This window comes from Homo sapiens, chromosome 5 (assembly GCF_000001405.40).
Source record: "Homo sapiens chromosome 5, GRCh38.p14 Primary Assembly".
Classification (NCBI taxonomy): Eukaryota; Metazoa; Chordata; class Mammalia; order Primates; family Hominidae; genus Homo; species Homo sapiens.
Genome location: NC_000005.10, coordinates 126776538 through 126798061, shown reverse-complemented (window position 1 = coordinate 126798061; position 21524 = coordinate 126776538). Strand labels below are relative to the sequence as shown.

General features: G+C 46.0%; 1 protein-coding gene across 7 annotated transcripts in view, besides 9 other annotated features; it reads right to left on the bottom strand.

Annotated features, from left to right (window-relative positions):
- The window catches only part of LMNB1 (lamin B1), a 60398-nt gene extending 38959 nt beyond the window's left edge, over positions 1-21439 (bottom strand). For 2 of the 7 annotated variants that reach the window (NR_177109.1, NM_005573.4), the window contains exon 1: positions 20195-20926. Coding sequence is in view for 3 of the 7 variants with exons in the window: in NM_005573.4 (NP_005564.1) it covers positions 20195-20553 (359 nt within the window). In the remaining 4 variants the exon portion in view is untranslated. Of the gene's footprint in view, positions 1-10738; positions 10755-19502 lie in introns of those variants that run through there. The other 5 variants (NR_134488.1, NM_001198557.2, XM_047417173.1 and 2 more) reach the window with 5 other exon arrangements.
- Positions 17787-17876: an enhancer, noted in NCBI's record as "active region_23028". NCBI's record gives its function as "activates an Ori minimal core promoter by ATAC-STARR-seq in GM12878 lymphoblastoid cells {active_cell/tissue: GM12878}" and the evidence as "EXISTENCE:reporter gene assay evidence [ECO:0000049][PMID:35858748]".
- Positions 17887-17956: an enhancer, noted in NCBI's record as "active region_23027". NCBI's record gives its function as "activates an Ori minimal core promoter by ATAC-STARR-seq in GM12878 lymphoblastoid cells {active_cell/tissue: GM12878}" and the evidence as "EXISTENCE:reporter gene assay evidence [ECO:0000049][PMID:35858748]".
- Positions 19260-19349: an enhancer, noted in NCBI's record as "active region_23026". NCBI's record gives its function as "activates an Ori minimal core promoter by ATAC-STARR-seq in GM12878 lymphoblastoid cells {active_cell/tissue: GM12878}" and the evidence as "EXISTENCE:reporter gene assay evidence [ECO:0000049][PMID:35858748]".
- Positions 19840-19949: a silencer, noted in NCBI's record as "silent region_16288". NCBI's record gives its function as "represses an Ori minimal core promoter by ATAC-STARR-seq in GM12878 lymphoblastoid cells {active_cell/tissue: GM12878}" and the evidence as "EXISTENCE:reporter gene assay evidence [ECO:0000049][PMID:35858748]".
- Positions 20160-20209: a silencer, noted in NCBI's record as "silent region_16287". NCBI's record gives its function as "represses an Ori minimal core promoter by ATAC-STARR-seq in GM12878 lymphoblastoid cells {active_cell/tissue: GM12878}" and the evidence as "EXISTENCE:reporter gene assay evidence [ECO:0000049][PMID:35858748]".
- Positions 20365-21165: an enhancer, noted in NCBI's record as "NANOG-H3K27ac-H3K4me1 hESC enhancer chr5:126112589-126113389 (GRCh37/hg19 assembly coordinates)". NCBI's record gives its function as "activates a minimal SCP1, AML or CMV promoter by ChIP-STARR-seq in naive H9 embryonic stem cells {active_cell/tissue: H9 hESC(naive)}" and the evidence as "EXISTENCE:reporter gene assay evidence [ECO:0000049][PMID:30033119]".
- Positions 20365-21449: a biological region, named in NCBI's record as "NANOG-H3K27ac-H3K4me1 hESC enhancer GRCh37_chr5:126112589-126113389".
- Positions 20520-20599: a silencer, noted in NCBI's record as "silent region_16286". NCBI's record gives its function as "represses an Ori minimal core promoter by ATAC-STARR-seq in GM12878 lymphoblastoid cells {active_cell/tissue: GM12878}" and the evidence as "EXISTENCE:reporter gene assay evidence [ECO:0000049][PMID:35858748]".
- Positions 20800-21449: a silencer, noted in NCBI's record as "silent region_16285". NCBI's record gives its function as "represses an Ori minimal core promoter by ATAC-STARR-seq in GM12878 lymphoblastoid cells {active_cell/tissue: GM12878}" and the evidence as "EXISTENCE:reporter gene assay evidence [ECO:0000049][PMID:35858748]".

The window sequence follows — 21524 nt, the reverse complement described above, 5'->3', positions numbered from 1 at the left end:
TGGGTTCAAGCAATCCTCCACGATCATGGCTGACTGTAACTTACACCTCCTGGGTTCAAACAATCCTCCCATCTCAGTCCCCCAAGAAGCTGGGAGTATACACATGTGCCACTACGCCCGGCTAATTTCTGTATTTTGCTGGGGCAGATGGGAAGACAGGGTTTTCCTATGTTGCCCCGGCTGGTTTCAAACTCCTGGGCTCAAGTGACCTGTCCGCCTCAGCCTCCCGAAGTGCTGCGATTACCAGCATGAGCCACTGCACTCAGCCAAATCAATGAGTCTTCTATGTCACATGAGTTGTCAAGGATACATGGGGAGCCATGCAGTGAGTTAATATTCTGAACATATTCTTGTCATAATTTTCTAACCATATTATTTTTCATTCATCAATATAATGTAGAAAGTCCAAGTGTAATTATCAGCACATAGTCAAAGTGCAGAAACCTGTAGAACTGATATCCTAAAACATACATACATGGACTTGCTGCAGCTATCACCTAAGCACAGAATGACATCTGACAATGCCTCCAAACACAGAGCAATTTAGATAGGAATCCTAAATTACTAGAAGCTATCTAACACTTAAGATATTAGTATACATTTACTTTGAGTCCATTTCCTGACTGGATTTGTTGTGTTATCCACCTGCCTGATTAAACTATTTATATTCCAGATAAGGAGATCTTCCTATGTTAAATTCAACATGTGAATCTAATACTAGAAATATACACGCTCCTGAAAATAAGTCACAAAACATACCCATTTGCTTTAGATGTTTTACAGAAGAACCAAACTCTAACTGCAACCAGAAAAAAATAAAGTTTTATAAATGTAACTGGCATTCTATGCTAATTAAGAATTTCCTCCCTTAATAAACCAAATTAGCTTTCATTTCAAGTAAGCTTGAATTTTATTGGTCTAACAAGTAACCAGGTGTAATCAAGTATCTGGCCATTAAAAAGAAAATTAGCCAGGCTGGGTGCAGTGGCTCACTCTTGTAATCCCAGCACTTTGGGAGGCTGCAGCGGGTGGATCATATGAGGCCAGGAGTTCAAGACCAGCCTGGCCAACATGGCGAAACCCCATCTCTGCTAAAAATACAAAAATTAGCCGGACATGGTGGTCCATGCCTATAATCCCAGCTACTCGGGAGGCTGAGGCAGGAGAATCGCTTGAATCTGGGGGTGTGGAGGTTGCAGTGAGCTGAGATCGTGCCACTGCACTCCAACTGGGTCAAAGAGCGAAGCTCTATCTCAAAAAAAAAAAAAAAAAAAAGAAAGAAAAAAGAAAAAGAAAAAGAAAATTAGCTAGAAAGGATATATTTATATTCCTGCTAACATTCTACAGCAGTGACTTAAGACTAACATACACAGCTTTACTATGGTTGTACTTTCCCAATAAAACCTAGTACCATGTATCTGGGACACATGCCTATCCTCTCCTGAGGCCTATAGAACTAATCTAAATCCAGTTGGTTAACACTTTCTAAAATGCTCCTAAGCACCTTCTACCACCAGCAATACCATATACTCTGCTGCTTTAATCATGCTGGTTGTTCAACATGCCGCCAGTTTGACCTTGACTTGTTTTAAGGTCATTTCCAACCCTGGCTTCTGCATTGAACTACTTGGTTCTGGAACTTAGTGTCTGAACTTTGCTTGGCCTCTGCACTAGTCCTTCTGTGAGGATGACTCTCTCTCACTCCCTGGGTGTCCTTCATTTGTCTAGGTGTACCCTACTCCAGACTAGTCCTACCAGTCAGAAAGTAGAGATCAGTCAGCACCATAAGAAGACAGGGCAAGGCAAAAAAAGGAGATTAAAAAATGCATCCAGGGCCGGGCACGGTAGCTCACACCTATAATCCCAGCACTTTGGGAGGCTAAGGCTGGCGGATCACCTGAGGTCAAGAGCTCGAGACCAGCCTCAACACAGAGAAACCCTGTCTCTACTAAAAATACAAAATTGGCCGGGCGTAGTGGTGCATGCCTGTAATCTCAGCTACTTGGGAGGCTGAGGCAGGAGAATTGCTTGAACCTGGGAGGCGGAGGTTGCAGTGAGCCAAGATCGCACCATTGCACTCCCACCTGGGCAACAAGAGTGAAACTCCGTCTCAAAAAAAAAAAAAAAAGCATCCTGGGCCAGGCGCAGTGGCTCACGCCTGTAATCCCAGCACTTTGGGAGGCCAAGGAAGGCGGATCATGAGGTCAAGAGTTTGAGACCAGCCTGATCCAACATGGTGAAGCCCCGTCTAACTAACAAATACAAAAAAATTAGCCAGGTGTGGTTGTGCATGCCTGTAATCCCAGCTACTCGGGAGGCTGAGGCAGGAGAATCGCTTGAACCCGGGGGGGCAGAGGTTGCTGTGAGCCAAGATTGCACCATTGCACTCCAGCCTGGGCGACAGAGCAAGGCTCCATCTAAAACAAACAAATGAACAAACAAAAAAACCACATCCAATCACAGAATCGCTGGAAAATGAACCCTCAATGGAACTCTTAGAGAAATATATCATTACTAGGTGATAACTTTAGGGTACATTCTTCCAAAAGTCATACCACATACATAACATGCAGAAAGTCATTCCAGGCCTGCAATAACAATAACTACTTGAAAATGAATTAGGAGGCCAGGCCCGGTGGTTCATGCCTGTAATCCTAGCACTTTGGGAGGCCAAAATGGGCAGAATGCTTGAGCCCAGGAGTTCGAGACCACCCTGGGCAACATGGTGAAACCCCATTTCTACAAAGAATACAAAAATTAGCTGGGAGTAGTGGCCTGTGCCTGTAGTCCCAGCTACTAGAGAGACTGAGATGGGAGGATTGCTTGGGCCAGGGAGGTTAAGGCTGCAGTGAGCTGTGGTCATGCCACGGCACTCCAGCCACTGTCGCTCTGGGCAACAGAGCAAGATCCTTATTTAAAAAAAAAAAAAAAGGAAAAGGAATTAGTTAGCATATTCCAACCATAAACACTTGAAAAAATAAGATTGTCCACTTAAACAGGGAACAAAGAATTAGTGTGAAACAAATCAATAAGTAAACTTGCAGGGACAAATACAACATAATCTGAAGCTCATTACAAAATAGTTTTAATTAATTTGGTAACGGCAAATTATTGCCCACCTGTTAACATTCTCTTGGTCAGTTTGTGTCAGTACCTATCCCTAACATTTCACCTCAGGCCCATTCTTATTTAGAAAAACAAATATATTACAGGAGATGAAAGAGAAAAGCCATTTAGTTTTTCACCTGTAATCAGCTAACAGAAATCATTCTATACAAAATTCTTATTTCTAATCAAAGCCACAAAACAAGGATTTTTAAATCCCTTAAAACAGACCCACTGTACATACAGAGCCAGGCCAATTAGGCCTAGCTGGCTAAGCTCTGTTCCTGCTTTCATATACTGTAAGGTTCTTCTGAACAGCTGTCTGGTAGCCCCTGAACACCACTCAACACTAGTGCAGTACTCAAGTGACTATCACACAAATCCGTGTCTGGGGATCTCTTCACACCCAGAGCTCAGCATCAACATGCCATGTCTCTTATATCTAGCCATGCTCCAGACCTTTAGAGAAAAAATAAACCTTATTTTCAATTTAAAGTAAAATATACCCACATAAAAACCTTGTCCTAAAACTAGATAATTTTATTTCGTAACAGGCTCAAACTGCTTATCAAGCATGCATTTGCTCCAACAGCCACTCATCAGCTTCAACACTGTCCTCATGTTAACTTCCCTTCCAAAGGGAAAAAGGATGTGATCCACAGTATTTTTCCAAAGGAAAATTAATGAACTTCCCCGAAATTAAAACAAATATAACTTAATACACAAAAACTCGGCCAGGCACGGTGGTTCACTCCTGTAATCCCAGTACTATAGGGGGCCGAGGCAGGCAGATCACCTGAGGTCAGGAGTTAGAGACCAGACTGGTCAACATGGTGAAATACAAAAATACAAAAGTTGGCTGGGCGTGGTGGCTCATGCCTGTAATCCCAGCTACTCAAGAGGCTGAGGCAGGAGAATCGCTTGAACCCAGGAGATGGAGGTAGCAGTGAGTCAAGATCACTCCATTGCACTCCAGCCTGGGCAACAAAGCGAGATTCCATCTCAAAAAAAAAAATTACACAAAAACTCTAGAAGGTCTTATGATCACAATTTCTTTCTTTCTTTCTTTCTTTCTTTTTGGAGATGGAGTTTCACTCTTGTTGCCCAGGCCAGAGTGCAATGGCGCAATCTCAGCTAACTGCAACCTCCGCCTTCCGGGTTTAAGTGATTCTCCTGTCTCAGCCTCCTGAGTAGCTAGGATTACAGGCGCCCGACACTACATTCGGCTAATTTTTGGTATTTTTAGTAGAGATGGGGTTTCACCATGTTGGCCAGGCTGGTCTCGAACCCCTGACCTCAGGAGATCCACCTGCCTCGGCCTCCCAAAGTGCTGGGATTACAGGCGTGAGCCACCATGCCCGGCCTTGTGATCACAATTTCTATTAACAAGGGTCTCCTCTGGCATATGCAAAAAGACTAAGAAGATGCTTTTGCATAAACTCAAAGTTACAAAGGATAGTTTCCGGTGCCAATAAAATTCTGCTACTCACTGAATAAACTAATCTGTCAAAGAATTAGCAACAACCTAATCAGACTCAGGCAAACTCTAGTTGAAACTCGGGTAAAATTAGGAAAAATACTAAATGAGATTGAAACTGGACCACAAAACCACTTCTTTGAAACAAAAAAAAAAATCACTGTAACATAAACAGGCACAGGAGTATGGAGCAGACTCGTACAGATTAAGTCTTAATTTAAATGACTGATTCATTTAAAAAGAAAAAGAAAAACCAATAACTACTACCTTTGTCACTCATCTACAATGTGCTAGGCACTGACCTGGGTGTAAAATATTTCTGAAACAGTGTTCCAATGTCCATTCTCCAGTTTGCTGGGTGTTATGAGGCAGCTATTCCTAAAGCAATAGCAGTGGCAGCTTCCTAGTCCTGAATAGTAGCTATATACTGTTTTTAAAACAGTTTACTGGTTCCATTGGTGGCCTCACACATAAAAGCTCCCAAAGAAGGTCAGTTCTACAACAATGTTCTAAGCATCATTATTGCTCCTCTAGCCTCTCTAAAAATCATTTCTAAGCACCTACATCTCATATTGTTTCCCTTTCTGCTTAAAATCCCTAGTGCTGCCGGGCGCGGTGGCTCATGCCTGTAATCTCAGCACTTTGGGAGGCCGAGGCGGGTGGATCACCTGAGGTCGGGAGTTTGAGACCAGCCTGACCAGCATGGAGAAACCCCGTCTCTACTAAAAATACAAAATTAGCCAGGCGTGGTGGCACATGCCTGTAATCCCAGCTACTAGGGAGGCTGAGGCAGGAGAAACGCTTGAACCTGGGAGGCGGAGGTTGCGGTGAGCCGCGATCGCGCCACTGCACTCCAGCCTGGGCAACAAGAGTGAAACTCTATCTCAAAAAAAAAAAAAAAAAAAAAAAAAATCCCTAGTGCTTTCTGTTCCCTGCACTGAGTGATGACACAAAGACCTAAACAGAAAAAGAAATTAACTTAGCAAAGAGGGACTATGAAGGACAATGAAGACTTCTGCAAAGATAAGAGAAAGTACCAAACACACCAGGCACAGTGGCTCACGCCTATAATCCCAGCACTTTGGGAGGCAGGCGAATCACCTGAGGTCAGGAGTTTAAGACGAGCCTGGTCAACATGGCAAAATCCCATCTCTACTAAAAATACAAAAGTTAGCCAGGCGTAATGGCACGTGTCTGTAATCCCAGTTACTCGGGAGGCTGAGGCAGGAGAATCACTTAAACACAGGAGGCGGAGGTTGCAGTGAGCTGGGATCATGCCGCTGTACTCCAGTCTGGGTGACAGAGTAAGACTCTGTCTCCAAAAAAAAAAAAAAAAAGGAACCAAATCCATCAAATTTAGACAAAAACAATGCTATAGAGCTATCAAGAAGAGAATAGGCTGGGTACAGTGGCTCACACCTGTAAACCCAGCACTTTGGAAGGCAGCGATAGGTGGATCACTTGAGGTCAGGAGTTCGAGACCAGCCTGACCAACATGGTGAAACCCCGTCTCTACTAAAAATACGAAAATCAGCCCGGTGTCATGGTGGGCACCTGTAATCCCAGCTGCTTGGGAGGCTGGGGCATGAGAATCACTTGAACACGGAGGCAGAGGTTGCAGTGAGCCAAGATCGCACCACTGCACTCCAGCCTGGGCAACAGAGCAAGACCCTGTCTCAAAAACAAAAAAAGAGACATCAAGGGAATAAAAAAGGCTAGGCATGATGGTTCACACCTGTAATCCCAACACTTTGGGAGGCTGAGGCAGAAGGACCACTTGAGCTCAGGAGTTTGAGACCAGCAACATAGTAAGACCCTGTCTCTATGAAAAAAATCAAGAAATTAGCTAGGTGTAGTGGCACACACCCAACTACTCCAGTAGTAGTCCCAACTACTCCAGAGGCTAAGGTGAGAGGATCACTTGAGCCTAGGAGGTTGAGGCTGTAGTGAGCCAAGATCATGCCACTGCACTCCAGCCTGGGCAAGGGTAAGACCCTATCTTTAAAAAAAAGAGACAGAATAAAAAGAAGCTATTAGAAATTTAAAATACAATAGCAAAAATTGGAAAACAAAATTGAGAACATCTCTTAGTAGAGAAAAAATATTTTTTAAAAAAGGGAAGAAAACCAAAGGATCAATGTAAGAGATCCAACATTTGAATACTAGGAGTCTCATATGGTAATAAAAGAGGAGAAAATCTCAAGAAAATTTCCAACAACTGAAGGACATAAATTTCAAGACCAAAAGAATTCAATCAGATGATCAACACAATGGATGAAAAGAGATCTACAACAAGGAACATCCCTGTGAAATTTTAGAACTGGATCAAAAGAAGATCCTACAAGCTTTTAAATTTTTCACTCATCATTACTTCTGCAGCCAATGAAAGCTAGAAAACTAAAGAACACGTCTTCATTTTATTTATTTATTTGTTTATTTGTTTATTTATTTATTTATTGAGACAGAGTTTCGCTCTTGTCGCTCAGGCTGGAGTGCAATGGCGCGACCTGGGCTCATTGCAACCTCCACCTCCCGGGTTCAAGCAATTCCCTTGCCTCGGCCTCCTGAGTAGCTGGGATTACAGGCACCCACCACCACACCGGCTAATTTTTTGTACTTTTAGTAGAGTACAAATGTTGGCCAGGCTGGTTGCGAACTCCTGACCTCAGGTGATCCACCCACCTCGGCCAAAACATGCCTTCAAAAGTCTAAGAAAATAGCATTTACAACCTAGAATTCTATACCCAAACTATCAATGCTTATACAATACAACTAGACTGTAGAAAAACACAAGGTACCCAAAGGTAATTCTTTATTTAATGAGGTAAAATTAATTTAAAAATGATCCTAAATGATTTGATGTTCTAACAACTGGCATAGACTCTATATAATTATACAAAAAAGTAAGTGGGAAAAAGTACTATTTTTATAGGTGATCAAAAGGTGTGATAGGCAAAAAAAACTAATCACAGTATATTACTGAGTTCTGCTGGGGACTATGTAAGTATTTCTGCTATAACATATGTTGCTTCTGACAACTCCTGCATTCTGCACAAATTAAAAATAACACAGCAGACCAGATGTGGTGGCTTACATCTGTAATCCCAGCACTTTGGGAGGCCGAGGCAGGCAGATCACCTGAGGTCAGGAGTTCGAGACCAGCCTGGCCAACATGGCAAAACCCCTTCTCTACTAAAAATACAAAAATTCACAGGGCTTGGTGGTGCACGCCTGTAATCCCCGCTACTGGAGAGGCTGAAGCACAAGAATCACTTGAACGTGGGAGGTGGAGGTTATACTGAGCAGAGATCATACCACTCACTACTCTCCAGTCTGGGCAACAGAGCAAGACTGTCTCAAAAATAAAATAAAATAAGGCCGGGCTCAGTGGCTCATGTCTGTAATCTCAGCACTTTGGAAGGCTGAGGTGGGCGGATCATCTGAGGTCGGGAGTTCAAGACCAGCCTAACATGAAGAAACCTCATCTCTATTAAAAATGTAAAATTAGGCCGGGCACAGTGGCTCACGCCTGTAATCCCAGCACTTTGGGAGGCCGAGGCAGGTGGATCATGAGGTCAGGAGATCGAGACCAACCTGGCCAACACGGTGAAACCCCATCTCTACTAAAAATACAAAAAATTAGTCGGGCTCGTTGGTAGGTGCCTGTAGTCCCAGCTACTCAGGAGGCTGAGGCAGGAGAATCACTTGAAACTGGAAGGCAGAGGTTGCAGTGAGCCAAGGTCACACCACTGCACTCCAGCCAAGAAGACACAGCAAGTCTCGTCCTCAAAAAAAAAATTCAAAGGAAACTCCAAATGCAAAGTCCCTATTTTAAGAGGATCACAGTAAACGGGACTGAATAAAGGATTTCATGGCTAAAGAGGAGTAAACAAGTTCAACTGTGGTATGAGATGAAGCTGGAGGGTCAGACTGGGACCAGCCCATGTAGGGAAAGAACTTTTAGGTAGGATAACCTGGGCAAATATGTCCCAGATTGCCAAGGACAAGTTCCATTTATGCGAGCTGTCACTGCATAATTATTAACAGCTCCCTCTTTCATACACAAAAGTATCCCAATTTGGATGCCAAATTATATGGTCACCCTACTATTAGTAGGGTCTTAGTCTTTACCCTAGAAGCTACTAAAATGTTTTATACCAAAAGGGGTGAAATGATCACATTTTAGGACACAACCTTAGAGAGATAAGGGTTCTGGTCCCCTGTCCAATGTTTTGTTACATAAACACTGAGTAAGAATCTAGTTTAAATTGACCCTTAAGAATGCCTCCCTCCCGCCAGACACAGTGGCTCACACCTGTAATCCCAACACTTTGAGAGGCCGAGGCAGGCGGATTGCTTGAGCTCAAAGTTCAAGACCAGCCTGGGAAACATGGCAAAACCCTCTCCCCACAAAAAATTAGCCAGTCGTGGTGGTGTGTGCCTGTAGTCCCAGCTACTCCAGAGGCTGAGGTGGGAGGATCACTTGAGCCTGGGAGGTCCAGGTTATAGTGAACCATGCACCACTGCAATCCAGCACCGGCAAGAGAACAAGACCTTGTCTCAAAAAAAAAAAACAAAAAAAACAAAAAAAAACTTGTCTCCTTCCCTTCACTGCCAACATTCTTAAACAAGTATTCTAAACTCATAATCTTTTTCCTCTCATTCTCCCCTTAATTATGGCCAGTGGTTTCCTCTATTAACCAAAGGCTCTCCTCTCAGTCAACAATCACCTAAGGCACCAAAAACACCAATGACAACAGATACTTTTTAGGCTTCATCAAACAAAAAACCCTTGTTCCATGACTCACCTCTCTTTTCTCACCTTTTAGGACGAAGTGTCCCTCTGTCACACAGGCTGGAGTGCAGAGGCGCAATCTCAGCTCACTGCAACCTCCGCCCACTACAACCTCCGCCTCCCAGGTTCAAGTGATTCTCCTGCCTCAGCCTCCACAGTAGTTGAGATTAAAGGCATGTGCAACCACGCCTGGCTAATTTTTGCATTTTTAGTAGAAACGGGGTTTCGCCATGTTGCCCAGGCTGGTCTCAAACTCCTGGCCTCAAGTGATCCACACACTCAGCCTCCCAAAGTGCTGGGATTACAGACATGAGCCACCACGCCCAGCCTCACCTCTCTATTACTTATCATCCCCATTGTGGGTTCTCCTTTCTCTACCCAGTCCTCATATGCGCATGCTTTCCATGTCTCTTGAGTACTTCAAATTGCCAACTAACATTGCTACCTAAAGTCCGGCAAACACCACTAATTCACTGACTTAGGGTCCTCCAAACCTGTTCATTCCCCACCAATTTCGGTTAAGAGCAATATTGTCTACTCAGGCACCCAAGCATGGAAGCAGTCACCCTAGACTCTTTCTTCTCCCTAGTCCTTTATGTTCAGTATCTCTTAAATCCACCTTCTCTCCTTTCTTCCACCTGCCTCAGTTCAAGGGCTGCCTTGTTACTCCCCAAGTGTTCTTACTAGTGTTTGTACCTCTCCTCTTTTTTTCCCTCCACAGCATAGCCAGAATGATCATGTCACAATTCTGCCTTAAAATCTTGGGTCCACTCATTACTAAAAATACAATCCCCTTCCCCACCCCATGTATTAAATATATATATGGCTCCAGTAGGCCAGGTGCAGTGGCTCACACCTGTAATCCCAGCACTTTGGGAGGCCGAGGTGGGTGGATCACCTGAGGTCAGGAGTTCATGACCAGCCTGGCAAACATACTGAAACCCTGTCTCTACTAAAAATTCAAAAATTAGCCGAGTGTGGTGGCAGGCGGCTGTAATCCCAGCTACTTGGGACGCTGAGGCAGAAGAATCATTTGAACCCAGGAGGTGGAGCTTGCAGTGAGCCGAGACCACACCATTGCACTCCAGCCTGGGCAACAACAGGAGTGAAACTCTATCTCAAAAAAAAAAAAAAAAAATATATATATATATATATATATACCCCCACACACACACGTTATATATAACATATACTTCATATATAAGTAACATATACATAAAGTATATGTTATATATAACATATACATATAAGATGTATATATACACACACATACACATATATATGGCTCCAGTTATATAAATTATTTGACATTCAGGACAACTCACTCTCCATTTTCCATTTAGAAGCAAATCCCTACTTACCTCCCTGCACTTAGCTCAGATTCCCCTGGGATGTCTTTCAAAATTTCACACGGCTCCTAGCCTGCCTTAGGTAGCGGTCCTTGTTTCTCCACAGCAACACCTGGATACTGGCATCACAGCACTTAATATATTTTATTAGTATACTGCACTTACAGTATCACAATCCTGTAGTGTTGGTTTTCTGTCTTCCCCACTAGACTGTAAGTAACTTGATAATGGGGACTGAGTATCCCATTTCTCTATTCCCAGCATCTGGTTCAAGACCTGGCATATAGTACCTGTTCCACAAAAATGTGTCTTGAATAAAGAATGAAAGAACACCCTGTCATGAGTATTAAAGATTTATTTAGAGGTTTTAATTTCTTTTAAATTATTAAGGCATGGAATAAAGTTGGAAAGTAGCTTTTTAAGAAGAGAAAAAAGATAAAAGCGATCTCTTTCAGTAATTCATCTTCACCTTTCTTTAGCAAATGAAGCCCTCAGTATTTCAAACAGCTGTTTCAACTACTGACCACTACCCTTCTGACAAATCCAAAATTACCTCCCTTGAAGGCTACAAACTATCAACGTGAAAAACATGCAACTAGTAGCATTTCCAAAAGTAGCACCCAAAGGGATCTGAAAATCAACTATCCTATCTGAGACTTCAAGTACCAACCACAGATAATGATGCTCTGTGAGCCTGCTACATGTCGGTAAACCAGAGTAATACCTGTAGAACACTGTTGTATGGATGAAATAAGGTTATGTATGTGAACACCCTATCACAATGCTAGAAGTCAGGCTACCATCCTTTCTAGCTTTCATTACTTGCTAAGTAATACCAGGCAAAATACTTAAACTCTCTGAGCCTGAAGTTTCCTTACTCATCAGCAGTTATCATGAGCTTAAAAGATAATGTCTGGCCGGGAACGGTGGCTCACGCCTGTAATCCCAGCACTCTGGGAGGCCAAGGCAGGAGGATCACGAGGTCAGGAGATCGAGACCATCCTGGCTAACAGTGAAACCCCGTCTCTACTAAAAAATACAAAAAATTAGCCGGGCGTAGTGGCGGGCACCTGTAGTCCCAGCTACTTGGGAGGCTGAGGCAGGAGAATGGCGTGAACTCAAGAGATGGAGCCTGCAGTGAACCGAGATCGTGCCACTGCACTCCAGGACTCCAGCCTGGGCGACAGAGCCAGACTCTGCATCAAAAAAAAAAAAAAAAAAAAGATAATGTCTGTAAAGCATCTACTGTAATGCCTGGCAAACAGAATTGGCACAAAATAAATGTCAGCTTTTTTTTTTCCTGCATCTTTTCCCCCACCCCCCAAAGGGAGTCTTGCTTTGTCACTCAGGCTGGAGTGCAGTGGCACGATCTCGGCTCACTGCAACCTCTGCCTCCCAGGTTCAAGCAGTTCTCCTGCCTCAGCCTCCTAAGTAGCTAGAATTACAGGTGCCCACCACCATGCCCGGCTAATTTTTGTATTTTTAGTAGATACAGGGTTTTGCCATGTTGGCCAGGCTGGTCTCGAACTGCTGACCTCAGGTGATCCGCCCACCTCGGCCTCCAAAAGTGCTGGGATTGCAGGCATGAGCCGCTGGTCCCAACCTAAGGGTTGGGCCCAACCTAAGGCCCAACCAAGAATTTTCTTCTTGGTGTTTGTGTTTTCTCCTTTTCTATAATGAATATACATTTGCTGTTTAAAAAATTTAATTTTTGGCCTGGCACCGTGGCTCACACCTGTAATCCTAGCACTTTGGGAGGCTGAGGCAGGCAGATATTGCCTGAGCTCAGGAGTTCAAGACAAGCCTGGGCAACCTGGTGAAACCTCGTCTCTACTAAAATACAAAAAAAAAAAAAGAAAAAGAAAAAGAAAAAAAAAATTAGCCGACGTGGTGGCGTGTGCCTGTAGTCCCAGCTAATCAGGAGGCTGAGGCAGGAGAATTGCTTGAACACGGGAGGCAGAGGCTGTAGTGAGCTGAGATCGTGCCACTGCACTCCAGCCTGGCGACAGAGCAAGACTCAGTTATTAAAAAAAAAAAAAATTAATTTTTAGGCAGGGCACCGTGGCTCACACCTGTAATCCCAGCACTTTGGGAGGCCAAGGCGGGCGGATCACGAGGTCAGGAGATCGAGATGATCCTGGCCGACATGGTGAAACCCCGTTTCTACTAGAAATTAAAAAAAAAAAAAATTAGCCGGGCATGGTGGCGGGTGCCTGTAATCCCAGATATTTGGGAGGCTGAGGCGGCAGAATCACTTGAACCCGGGAGGCAGAGATTGCAGTGAGCCAAGGTTGTGCCACTGCACTCCAGCCTGGTGACACAGCAAGACTCCGTCTCAAAAATAATAATAATAAAATTAATTTTTAAAAATTCGGGCGGAGGGCAGTGGCTTACGCCTGTAATCCCAGCACTTTGGGAGGCTGAGGCGGGCGGATCACGAGGTCAGGAGATCGAGCCCATCCCGGCTAACACGGTGAAACCCAGCCTCTACTAAAAATATAAAAAAAAATTAGCCCGGCGTGGTGGAGGGCGCCTGTAGTTCCAGTTACTCAGGAGGCTGAGTGAGGCAGGAGAATGGCGTGAACCCGGGAGGTGGAGCTTGCAGTGAGCCGAGATGGCGCCACTGCACTCCAGCCTGGGCGACAGAGCAAAACTCCGTCTCAAAAAAAAAAAAAAATTCAAGCCAGGCACGGTGGCTCACGCCTGTAATCCCAGCACTTTGGGAGGCCGAGGCGGGTGGATCACGAGGTCAGGAGCTCAAGACCAGCCTGGGCAAGATGGTGAAACCCCATCTCTACTAAAAATACAAAAAATTAGCCGGGCGTGGTGGCACGTGCCTGTAATCCCAGCTACTCCGGAGGCTGAGGCAGAGAATTGCTTAAACCTGGAGGGGCGGAGGTTGCAGTGAGCCGAGATCGCACCACTGCACTCCAGCCTGGGCGACACAGCGAGACCCTGCCTCAAAAAAATAAAATAAAATAAAATAATAAAAATTCAAATGACAGCCGGCCAGGTGCGGTGGCTCACGCCTGTAATCCCCGCACTTTGGGAGGCCAAGGCGGGCGGATCATCCAAGGTTGGGAATTCCAGACCAGCCTGACCAACATGGAAAAACCCCAAGTCTATTAAAAAAAAAATACAAAATCAGCCGGGTGTAGTGGCGCATGCCTGTAATCCCAGCTACTTGGGAGGCTGAGGCAGGAGAATTGCTTGAACCCGGGAGGCGGAGGTTGCAGTGAGCTGAGATCGCACCACTGTACTCCAGCCTGGGCAACGAGAGCAAAACTCTGTCTCAAAAAAAAAAAAAAAAAAAAAAAAAAATCAAATGACAGCCAAAGCACAATCTCCTTATCAAAGAGGTACACTGTAAAAAGGGTTTAAAACTGATTTTAAAAACTTCCCTGATCCTAAAAATAATGGGACCTATACAGGGTCCCATTACTCAACTGATACCTGAGGCTCATTCTCAACATTTGTACATGAAAGAGACTTACACTAATGGCATAAAAAAAAAGTCTGAAGATTTCTAACTCAGACATATCAGAGGTGACACCATCTATACAAACGAAAGAATAAATATAACCAGCAACTGTGTAAAGACACAAAAAAGAAAAGACCCACCATATTTTAATAGTGCTTTATCTTTCATTCTGCCTGTTTACTTCCTTGAATCTGGGTATGCAAAATATTACCTAGTCTCATCCCCTAAGTTAAATAAACAACTCCAAAAGATCTTGCTTTATCAAACATCTTTTGAAAGCATGGGAAGGAAATGTCATGACAGTTTAATTACTTGGGACCTGCTTCCTAGACTTTTAAATCATTTTTAGGGGTTTGGTCCTTCCAAGTCTTCCCTTGAAAATTAAAGTAACATTTAACATAACTCTGTTATAAAAGAACTATGAAAAGCAGTTTAACTAGTTTTATAACTCTTATAAAGAAAACTAGTTTTATAACTCTTATATTTTAAGTTATAAAAATATAAAAGTTTGATAACTCTTATATTAAGGCCAAGATGTATACTGTCAATCTGCTTCAAATAGGGCAAAATCAGTACATTAAAAAAAGATATAGTAATACACAGGATGATGAAGGTTTGTTTTTTGTGGTTTTTTTGTTTGTTTGTTTTTGTTTTTGAGACAGAGTCTCGCTCTGTCGCCCAAGCTGGAGTGCAGTGGTACGATCTTGGCTCACTACAACCTCCACCTGCTGGGTTCAAGAGATTCTCCTGCCTCAGCCTCCCAAAGTAGCTGGGATTACAGGCGTGCACCACCACGCCCGGCTGATTTTTGTATTTTTATGGAGATGGGGTTTCACAGTGTTGGTCAGGCTGGTCTCGAACTCCTGACCTCATGACCCTCCCACCTCAGCCTCCCAAAGTGCTAGGATTACAGGCGTGAGCCACCACGCCCAGCCAAAGGTTTTTGTTTTTCAATTAATCATCCTATGTACAAAGAAAACACTCCTAAAGAAGATTAGCATGTTTTTGACCAGGCACAGTGGCTCACGCCTGTAATCCCAGCACTTTGGGAGGCAGAGGCGGGCAGATCACGAGGTCAAGAGATCAAGACCATCCTGGCCAACATGGTGAAACCTGGTCTCTACTAAAAATATAAAAATTACCTGGGCGTGGTGGCGGGTGCCTGTAATCCCAGCTACTTGGGAGGCTGAGGCAGAAGAATTGCTTGAACCCAGGAGGCAGAGGTTGCAGTGAGCTGAGATTGTGTCACTGCACTCCAGCCTGGGCAAAAGAGCGAGACTCTGTGTCAAAAAATAAATAAATAAAAACAAAAATTCACCATCTTTTATCTATACTTCCAGAGTTTGAAAACCTAAAATTTTTATTAACACATTTAGTGGCAAAACCTGACCTGAAACCAGGTCTATTTTCAATCTGTCTTTCTCCACTTGCCATGACAATATCTTTCCCTCAGAAATGTTTCATGATAGAGTGCTAACTCTATCTACCCTAACTCTATCTATAAACCCCACTGGGGGTGTCATATCCAGTATGTGCATCATATTACCGTCTTAAATTGGAATTGCTTTAACTTCCAAAGCACATCTGGCCCCCAGGGTTTTACAGAAAAGATACGGGACCTGTATCACTGAAGGAAAATAAATGTCTGAATCCACAAAATCAGTTATTGAAGACTGATGTAAACACTTAACTTTCTGTTATATCTAGTTTTCCCGTATAGTTAACAGTGAAAATCTGAAACAAGTCAATTTCTCTGTACTTTTTGTTTAAAGTGTTGAGTGATGGCATTCATCATCATTTTTGGAAACTGTTCTCTCAAAAAAGCTTTCAGCAAAATATAATCAGTCTTGGACTGAATCAAAGTAACTGTACCTTACATATGAGGTCTGTTTTCTATGGATTCAGACACCACCTGCATGGAAACTGTTGCCAAATTCTCTTTAGACCAAGCATTTCCATGCTCTGCCTCTAAGGTATCTTGTTTGCTGAGGAACCAAAAAGAAACTAAGTAACCTGGAATCTATAATTCTCTCAAAGCTGTTTTCTTAATCTAAATCTACCTAAATGATGATTATACTTAATTACAAACACTCTAGTTCCAAATAAAAAATTAAATATAGGCCAGGCATGGTGGCTCACGCCTATAATCCCAGCACCTTGGGAGGCCGAGGTGGGTGGATCACCTGAGGTCAGGAGTTGGAGACCAGCCTGGCCAACACGGTGAAACCCCGTCTCTACTAAAAATACAAAATTAGCCGGGTGTGGTGGTGCACACCTGTAATCCCAGCTACTTGGGAGGCTGGGTCAAGAGCATCGCTTGAACCTGGGAGGCGGAGGTTGCAGTGAGCCAAGCTCCGTCTCAAAAAAAAAAGAAAGACATTAACAACCCTAGATGCCAGAAGACAATAGGGCAAAATAATACTTTCCAAGTTCTGGAAAAATGTTAACCTAGTATTCTATACCTAGCCCAAAGCTATTTTCAGACATACAGGACTCAGAAAGTTTACCTCCTGCCATCCTTTCTGAATAAATTACTTAAGGATGTTCTTCAACAAAATATGAAGAAACCAAGGAAAAGGAAAATACACCCAGGATGGAGTGCGGTGGTGTGATCTCAGCTCACTGCAACCTCCGCCTCCCCGGTTCAAGCAATGCCTCCTGCCTCAGCCTCCACAGTAACTGGGATTGCAGGCGTCCACTACCACACGCGGCTAATTTGTGTATTTTTAGTAGAGACGGGGTCTCGCCATGTTGGACAGGCTAGTCTTGAACTCCTGACTTCAGGTGATCCACCTGCCTAGGCCTCTCAAAGTGCTTTACAGGTGTGAGCCACCGTGCCTGGCCAGGAAGCTGTCTTTAATAAGTTACAGGACATCAGTACACAGCCTACCTTAAGCAAAGAGAACTCTAGGGAAGAAAGCAGATTCATGTGATAGATATTATGATTAAATATCTTCAAAAAGTCTGCAAACACACTGAGGGCAAATTTTTCTTAACAAGAAAAATGAAAAGCTATTGAGGAATAAATCCATATAAAAAAAGTCCTAATTCAAATAAGGAGCAAACTAAAATGTGGCATGTTTTGAGCAAATGATGGTATGTTGGGGGGAAAAGAAGAGTCATCTAATCCTGGCAATAGGAATATACATACAGTAGCACAGACTTAAGAAAAATATAATCCCAGAACACTACTAACCCTCAGAGAATAGGTACTGTCAACTCCTCAGACAGGCCTTCCTTAATCACACTAACCCTTCACTCCGCTTTATTTTTATTCCCTTAGCATCTGCTATTACCTAAATTGTATCACATGCATTATTTCATTGATTCTAATACACATTATTCTCATTTTTTAACCCCGCTGAAACCAGCATGCATTTTAGAATCGATACATTTACAACTACTGTCAGCCAGGTGGCAGCCTTGTTACTGTGTGAAAAACCTCCTGTGGCTAACTCCTGGAAAGATTACAAAAGCGCCAGCATCAAAATGCTTCACATCAGACAAAAGACAATCTTTCTTTACTTGCTGGGATATAGCTCCCCCACTACACTCTCAGCAACAAAGAACAGTAATTCATTTTTTTAAAAAAATCTTCATATCCTCTAACATAGAACGGTGACTGGTACGCAACAGATATTTGATCTGTGTTAATTTTTTTTTTTAGACGGAGTCTCACTCTGTCACCCAGGCTGGAGTGCAGTGGACCATCTGGCTCACTGCAGCCTCTGCCTCCTGGATATCAAGCGATTCTCCTGCCTCAGCCTCCCCAGTAGCTGGGATTACAGACGCCCGCCACCACGCCCGGATTTTTTTTCTTTTTTGAGATGGGGTCTCACTCTGTCGCCAGGCTGGGGTGCAATGGCGCAATCTCAGCTCACTGCAATATCCGCCTCCTGGGTTCAAGCGATTCTCCTGCCTCAGCCTCCCAAGTAGCTGAGACTACAGATGCATGCCACCACGTCTGGATAATTTTTTGTATTTTTAGTAGAGACGGGGTTTCACCTTGTTAGCCAGGATGGCCTCGATCTCCTGACCTCGTGATCCGCCCGCCTCGGCCTCCCAAAGTGCTGGGATTACAGGCGTGAGCCCCCGCGTCCGGCCAATTTTTGTATTTTTAGTAGAGACGGGGTTTCACCATATTGGTCAGGCTGGTCTCGAACTCCTGACCTCAAGTGATCCGCTCACCTCGCCTCCCAAAGCGCTGGGATTACAGGCGTGAGCCACCACGCCCGGCCCTGTTTGACATTTTAATATCTATGAAACCCATCATGATGGGTCCAACAGGATGGATCCTACACAGTTGGTCCTGATGTTTTTATTTTCTTAGTGGTACACATAATAATGGCAAGTCTTACAAGCAACGATATCTAAGATTTGAAGGAATTCAGTGGCAAAAAATTTGGAGGAACATAGAAATAATAGTGTGAGTTAACTGACTGCTCATTTTAAAAGATGAAACCAAGGCTTAGTAAATCCAAGAAAGGGAAATACAAGCTTAGTATTATTTTCGAGTTGTATAACTAAATATCCAAAGAAATAAAAACAAAAAGGGATAAATGTGATTGCCTCCGGAAAGAGGTAGTGCAGTTATCGTTTTTCGCTACAAACCAGTCTATACTATTTTATTCTTACCACGTGCACATGCTTTTTTATGAACCGAAAACATATGATAGGAGGGATAAGTAAAAATACACAAAATCTCAGAGACTTCGGACAGGGACATTCACGCAGATACAGACAGAAAGACATCCAGGGGCAAAGGGTGTCAAAGTGAGAATAAGGTACCTCCAGAAATTTCAGCTGGCAGTGCTAATGGCGACCATGAATTTCAGACCCAAATTTTGCAAATCTCTAAAGCATGACATCAACACTTGTTGCCTACTGATGACAGGCCATTTTGCTTATCAGAAAGTCAAAATAAGGCCAGCAAAGGTCTGCAAATGTATCCTTGTGCACTGGAATGAAAACTCGCACTCGCTTAGGTGAATTACAAACTCTCCTTCGCTCAAACACTCAGCATTTACACAGCACCCTGTCACCTGCCCTGGTCTACTATCTGCACAGTGGTCGACTAAGGGGTACTAAGCACAGTCTCTACCCGAAAGCCTGACTATACTACGAGGAGGCAAAAGCTGGGGACAGAGGGCCGCTGCCTGAGGGGTAGGAGAACCGCAATTCTAAGAACGGTAGCCGTGACATGCACAAACCCAGCTTTCCTTCCCTGCGCAGAACCACCCGAGGGACCGCACCATCCCCGCTGGGACAGGACACATTTCCCCAGAGAAAGCTAACCAGCTAGCAAACCTAACTTGCCCGGGGCTGGCTGGAGGCGCACGGATCAAGCTCCGCCTCTCTCTCCCGCCTAAAGCAGGCGTAGAATCTTCGCAAAACGTCACAGGGCCAAGACTGAGCGCGCCAAAGCGGGACCCACCCCCAGGAGACGCGGATGCTGCGGGAAGGTCCCTCCCCTTCCTCTCTCTGCCCGCGCGAAGCTCATTCATTCTAGAGGCGGGCTGCCAGTCCTCCCCGGCCGCCCATCCCGGCACTGCAAATCCGCTAGACGCTTTGTCTCGCGCCGGCCGGAAACTGGGGCGCGCACGCGAGCGCGCGCTCGCGCTCCAGCTCCCCGCACCTGGGGCCTGAGGGGCCGCCTCTCCGCGCCGGCTCCCCGGATTCGAGTGCGAAAGCGGGAGCTCCTTCTCGGCAGTCCCAGGCGCGCACTTACCACGTCCCAGCGGGTATCCAAAATCTAGAAATGGGCATCACGGCCCCCCAGCGCTACAGCTCGAGCCCCCTCCGCGACCCCTGCTCCGCTATGAACTCTAGATTCTTTCTCCTTTCCGGAGACCGAGACCCTGTTCCTTCAGAAGGACGCGTGCATCCTGGCCTCTGCTCCCTCCCCACGGCAGAACCCGGTGAGCTGGTCGCCGCGGTTGCGCCCCCGCCCCTCCTTGGCGCTAACGCGGCCGCCAGCTAGCACTCACTTGAGGAGCAGCTGGTCGTGTTCCGCCTTGCACTTGCCCAGCTCGATCTGCAGCTTGGCGCGCTCGCGGGCCGTGTCGTCGAGCGCGCGTCGCGCGTCGGCCAGCTCGGTCTCGTAGAGCGCCTTGAGGCCGGTGAGCTCACGGCCGCGCACCTCCTCGCGCTCCGTCACCTGCAGCTGCAGCGCGCTGTTCTCCGTCTCCAGGCTGCGCACCTTGTCGATGTACACCGCCAGCCGGTCATTGAGCTCGCGCAGCTCCTCCTTCTCCTGGAGCCGCGACAGGCGCGTGGGGCTCAGCGGCGTGGTGGGGCCGCCAGCGCGGCTGCCCATCCGCGGCGGCACGGGGGTCGCAGTCGCCATGGCGGGCGGCGGAGACAGCGGGGCGGCGAGGCCGCGAGCGGGACCGTGATAAGGAGGGGACGGCAGGGGGCGAAGCGGGGACCGAAGGCACAAACCGGCGACCTGCGCTCACGTCCAGACGCTGGCGTTTAGAGGAACGGAGAAGCACCTGGGATGGCGGGAGCTCGATTACAGCACAAAGGGCAAAGGCGCGCGGGGGGGAACTACGAATCAATCGATCGATCGCGAAATACCCTTTGTAAGAAAACACACACACCCACTCACACACGCACGCGGGAAAATGCAAGACGAGGGTGACTGGAGGCCCAGCAGGGTTCGCGCCGCCGCCGTCTCCTGCTCGCAGCACTTTGTTTCCTCTCAGGCTGCACGGAGCGGCGGGCGGGGGGAGGAGGGCCGGGAGGGGCGGGCTGGAGGCAAGCCGCGGGGGGCGGAGGTGGCGCGGGCCGCGGCGCCGCACTCCCCAACATGGCCGGCACGCCCCGGCGCCTCCACGTGACTACCATGGGCCAATGGGGAGCAGGCAGCGCGCTTCGGCGGTTCGGGGGCCGGGCCTGTAAATTTAAAATCTGGCCCTTGGGCAACCGTCAGCTCGGCCCTCCCGGCTGGGCGGTTCCCGGACCAGGCTCAGGGCTGTAAGGAAGGACGCCTGGGACTGCCCACCCGCGCGGCTCTGGGCCCAGGGCCCTCCCGCCGCCCCGCGGGGACCCCTTGGAGGGGCCGGGCCTGAGAAAGGCGGGAAGGAGCCCGGAGGTTTCCGGGACGGATCTGCGCCACCGCCCACACTCGGCGGTTCAGGGAAATTCAAATATAAACGTCCCTAAAAGCCACACGCGAAACTCAGAGTGTCCCCGGCCACCGCGGGCGTGGTAACCTTATCCCCCGCTCCGCTGGAGGGCTCGGGAAACGGCCTGGAGGCCGGGACGCTGTGGAATTACGTAATAGGCACTTGAGTCCGAGGTTCCAAATGCACG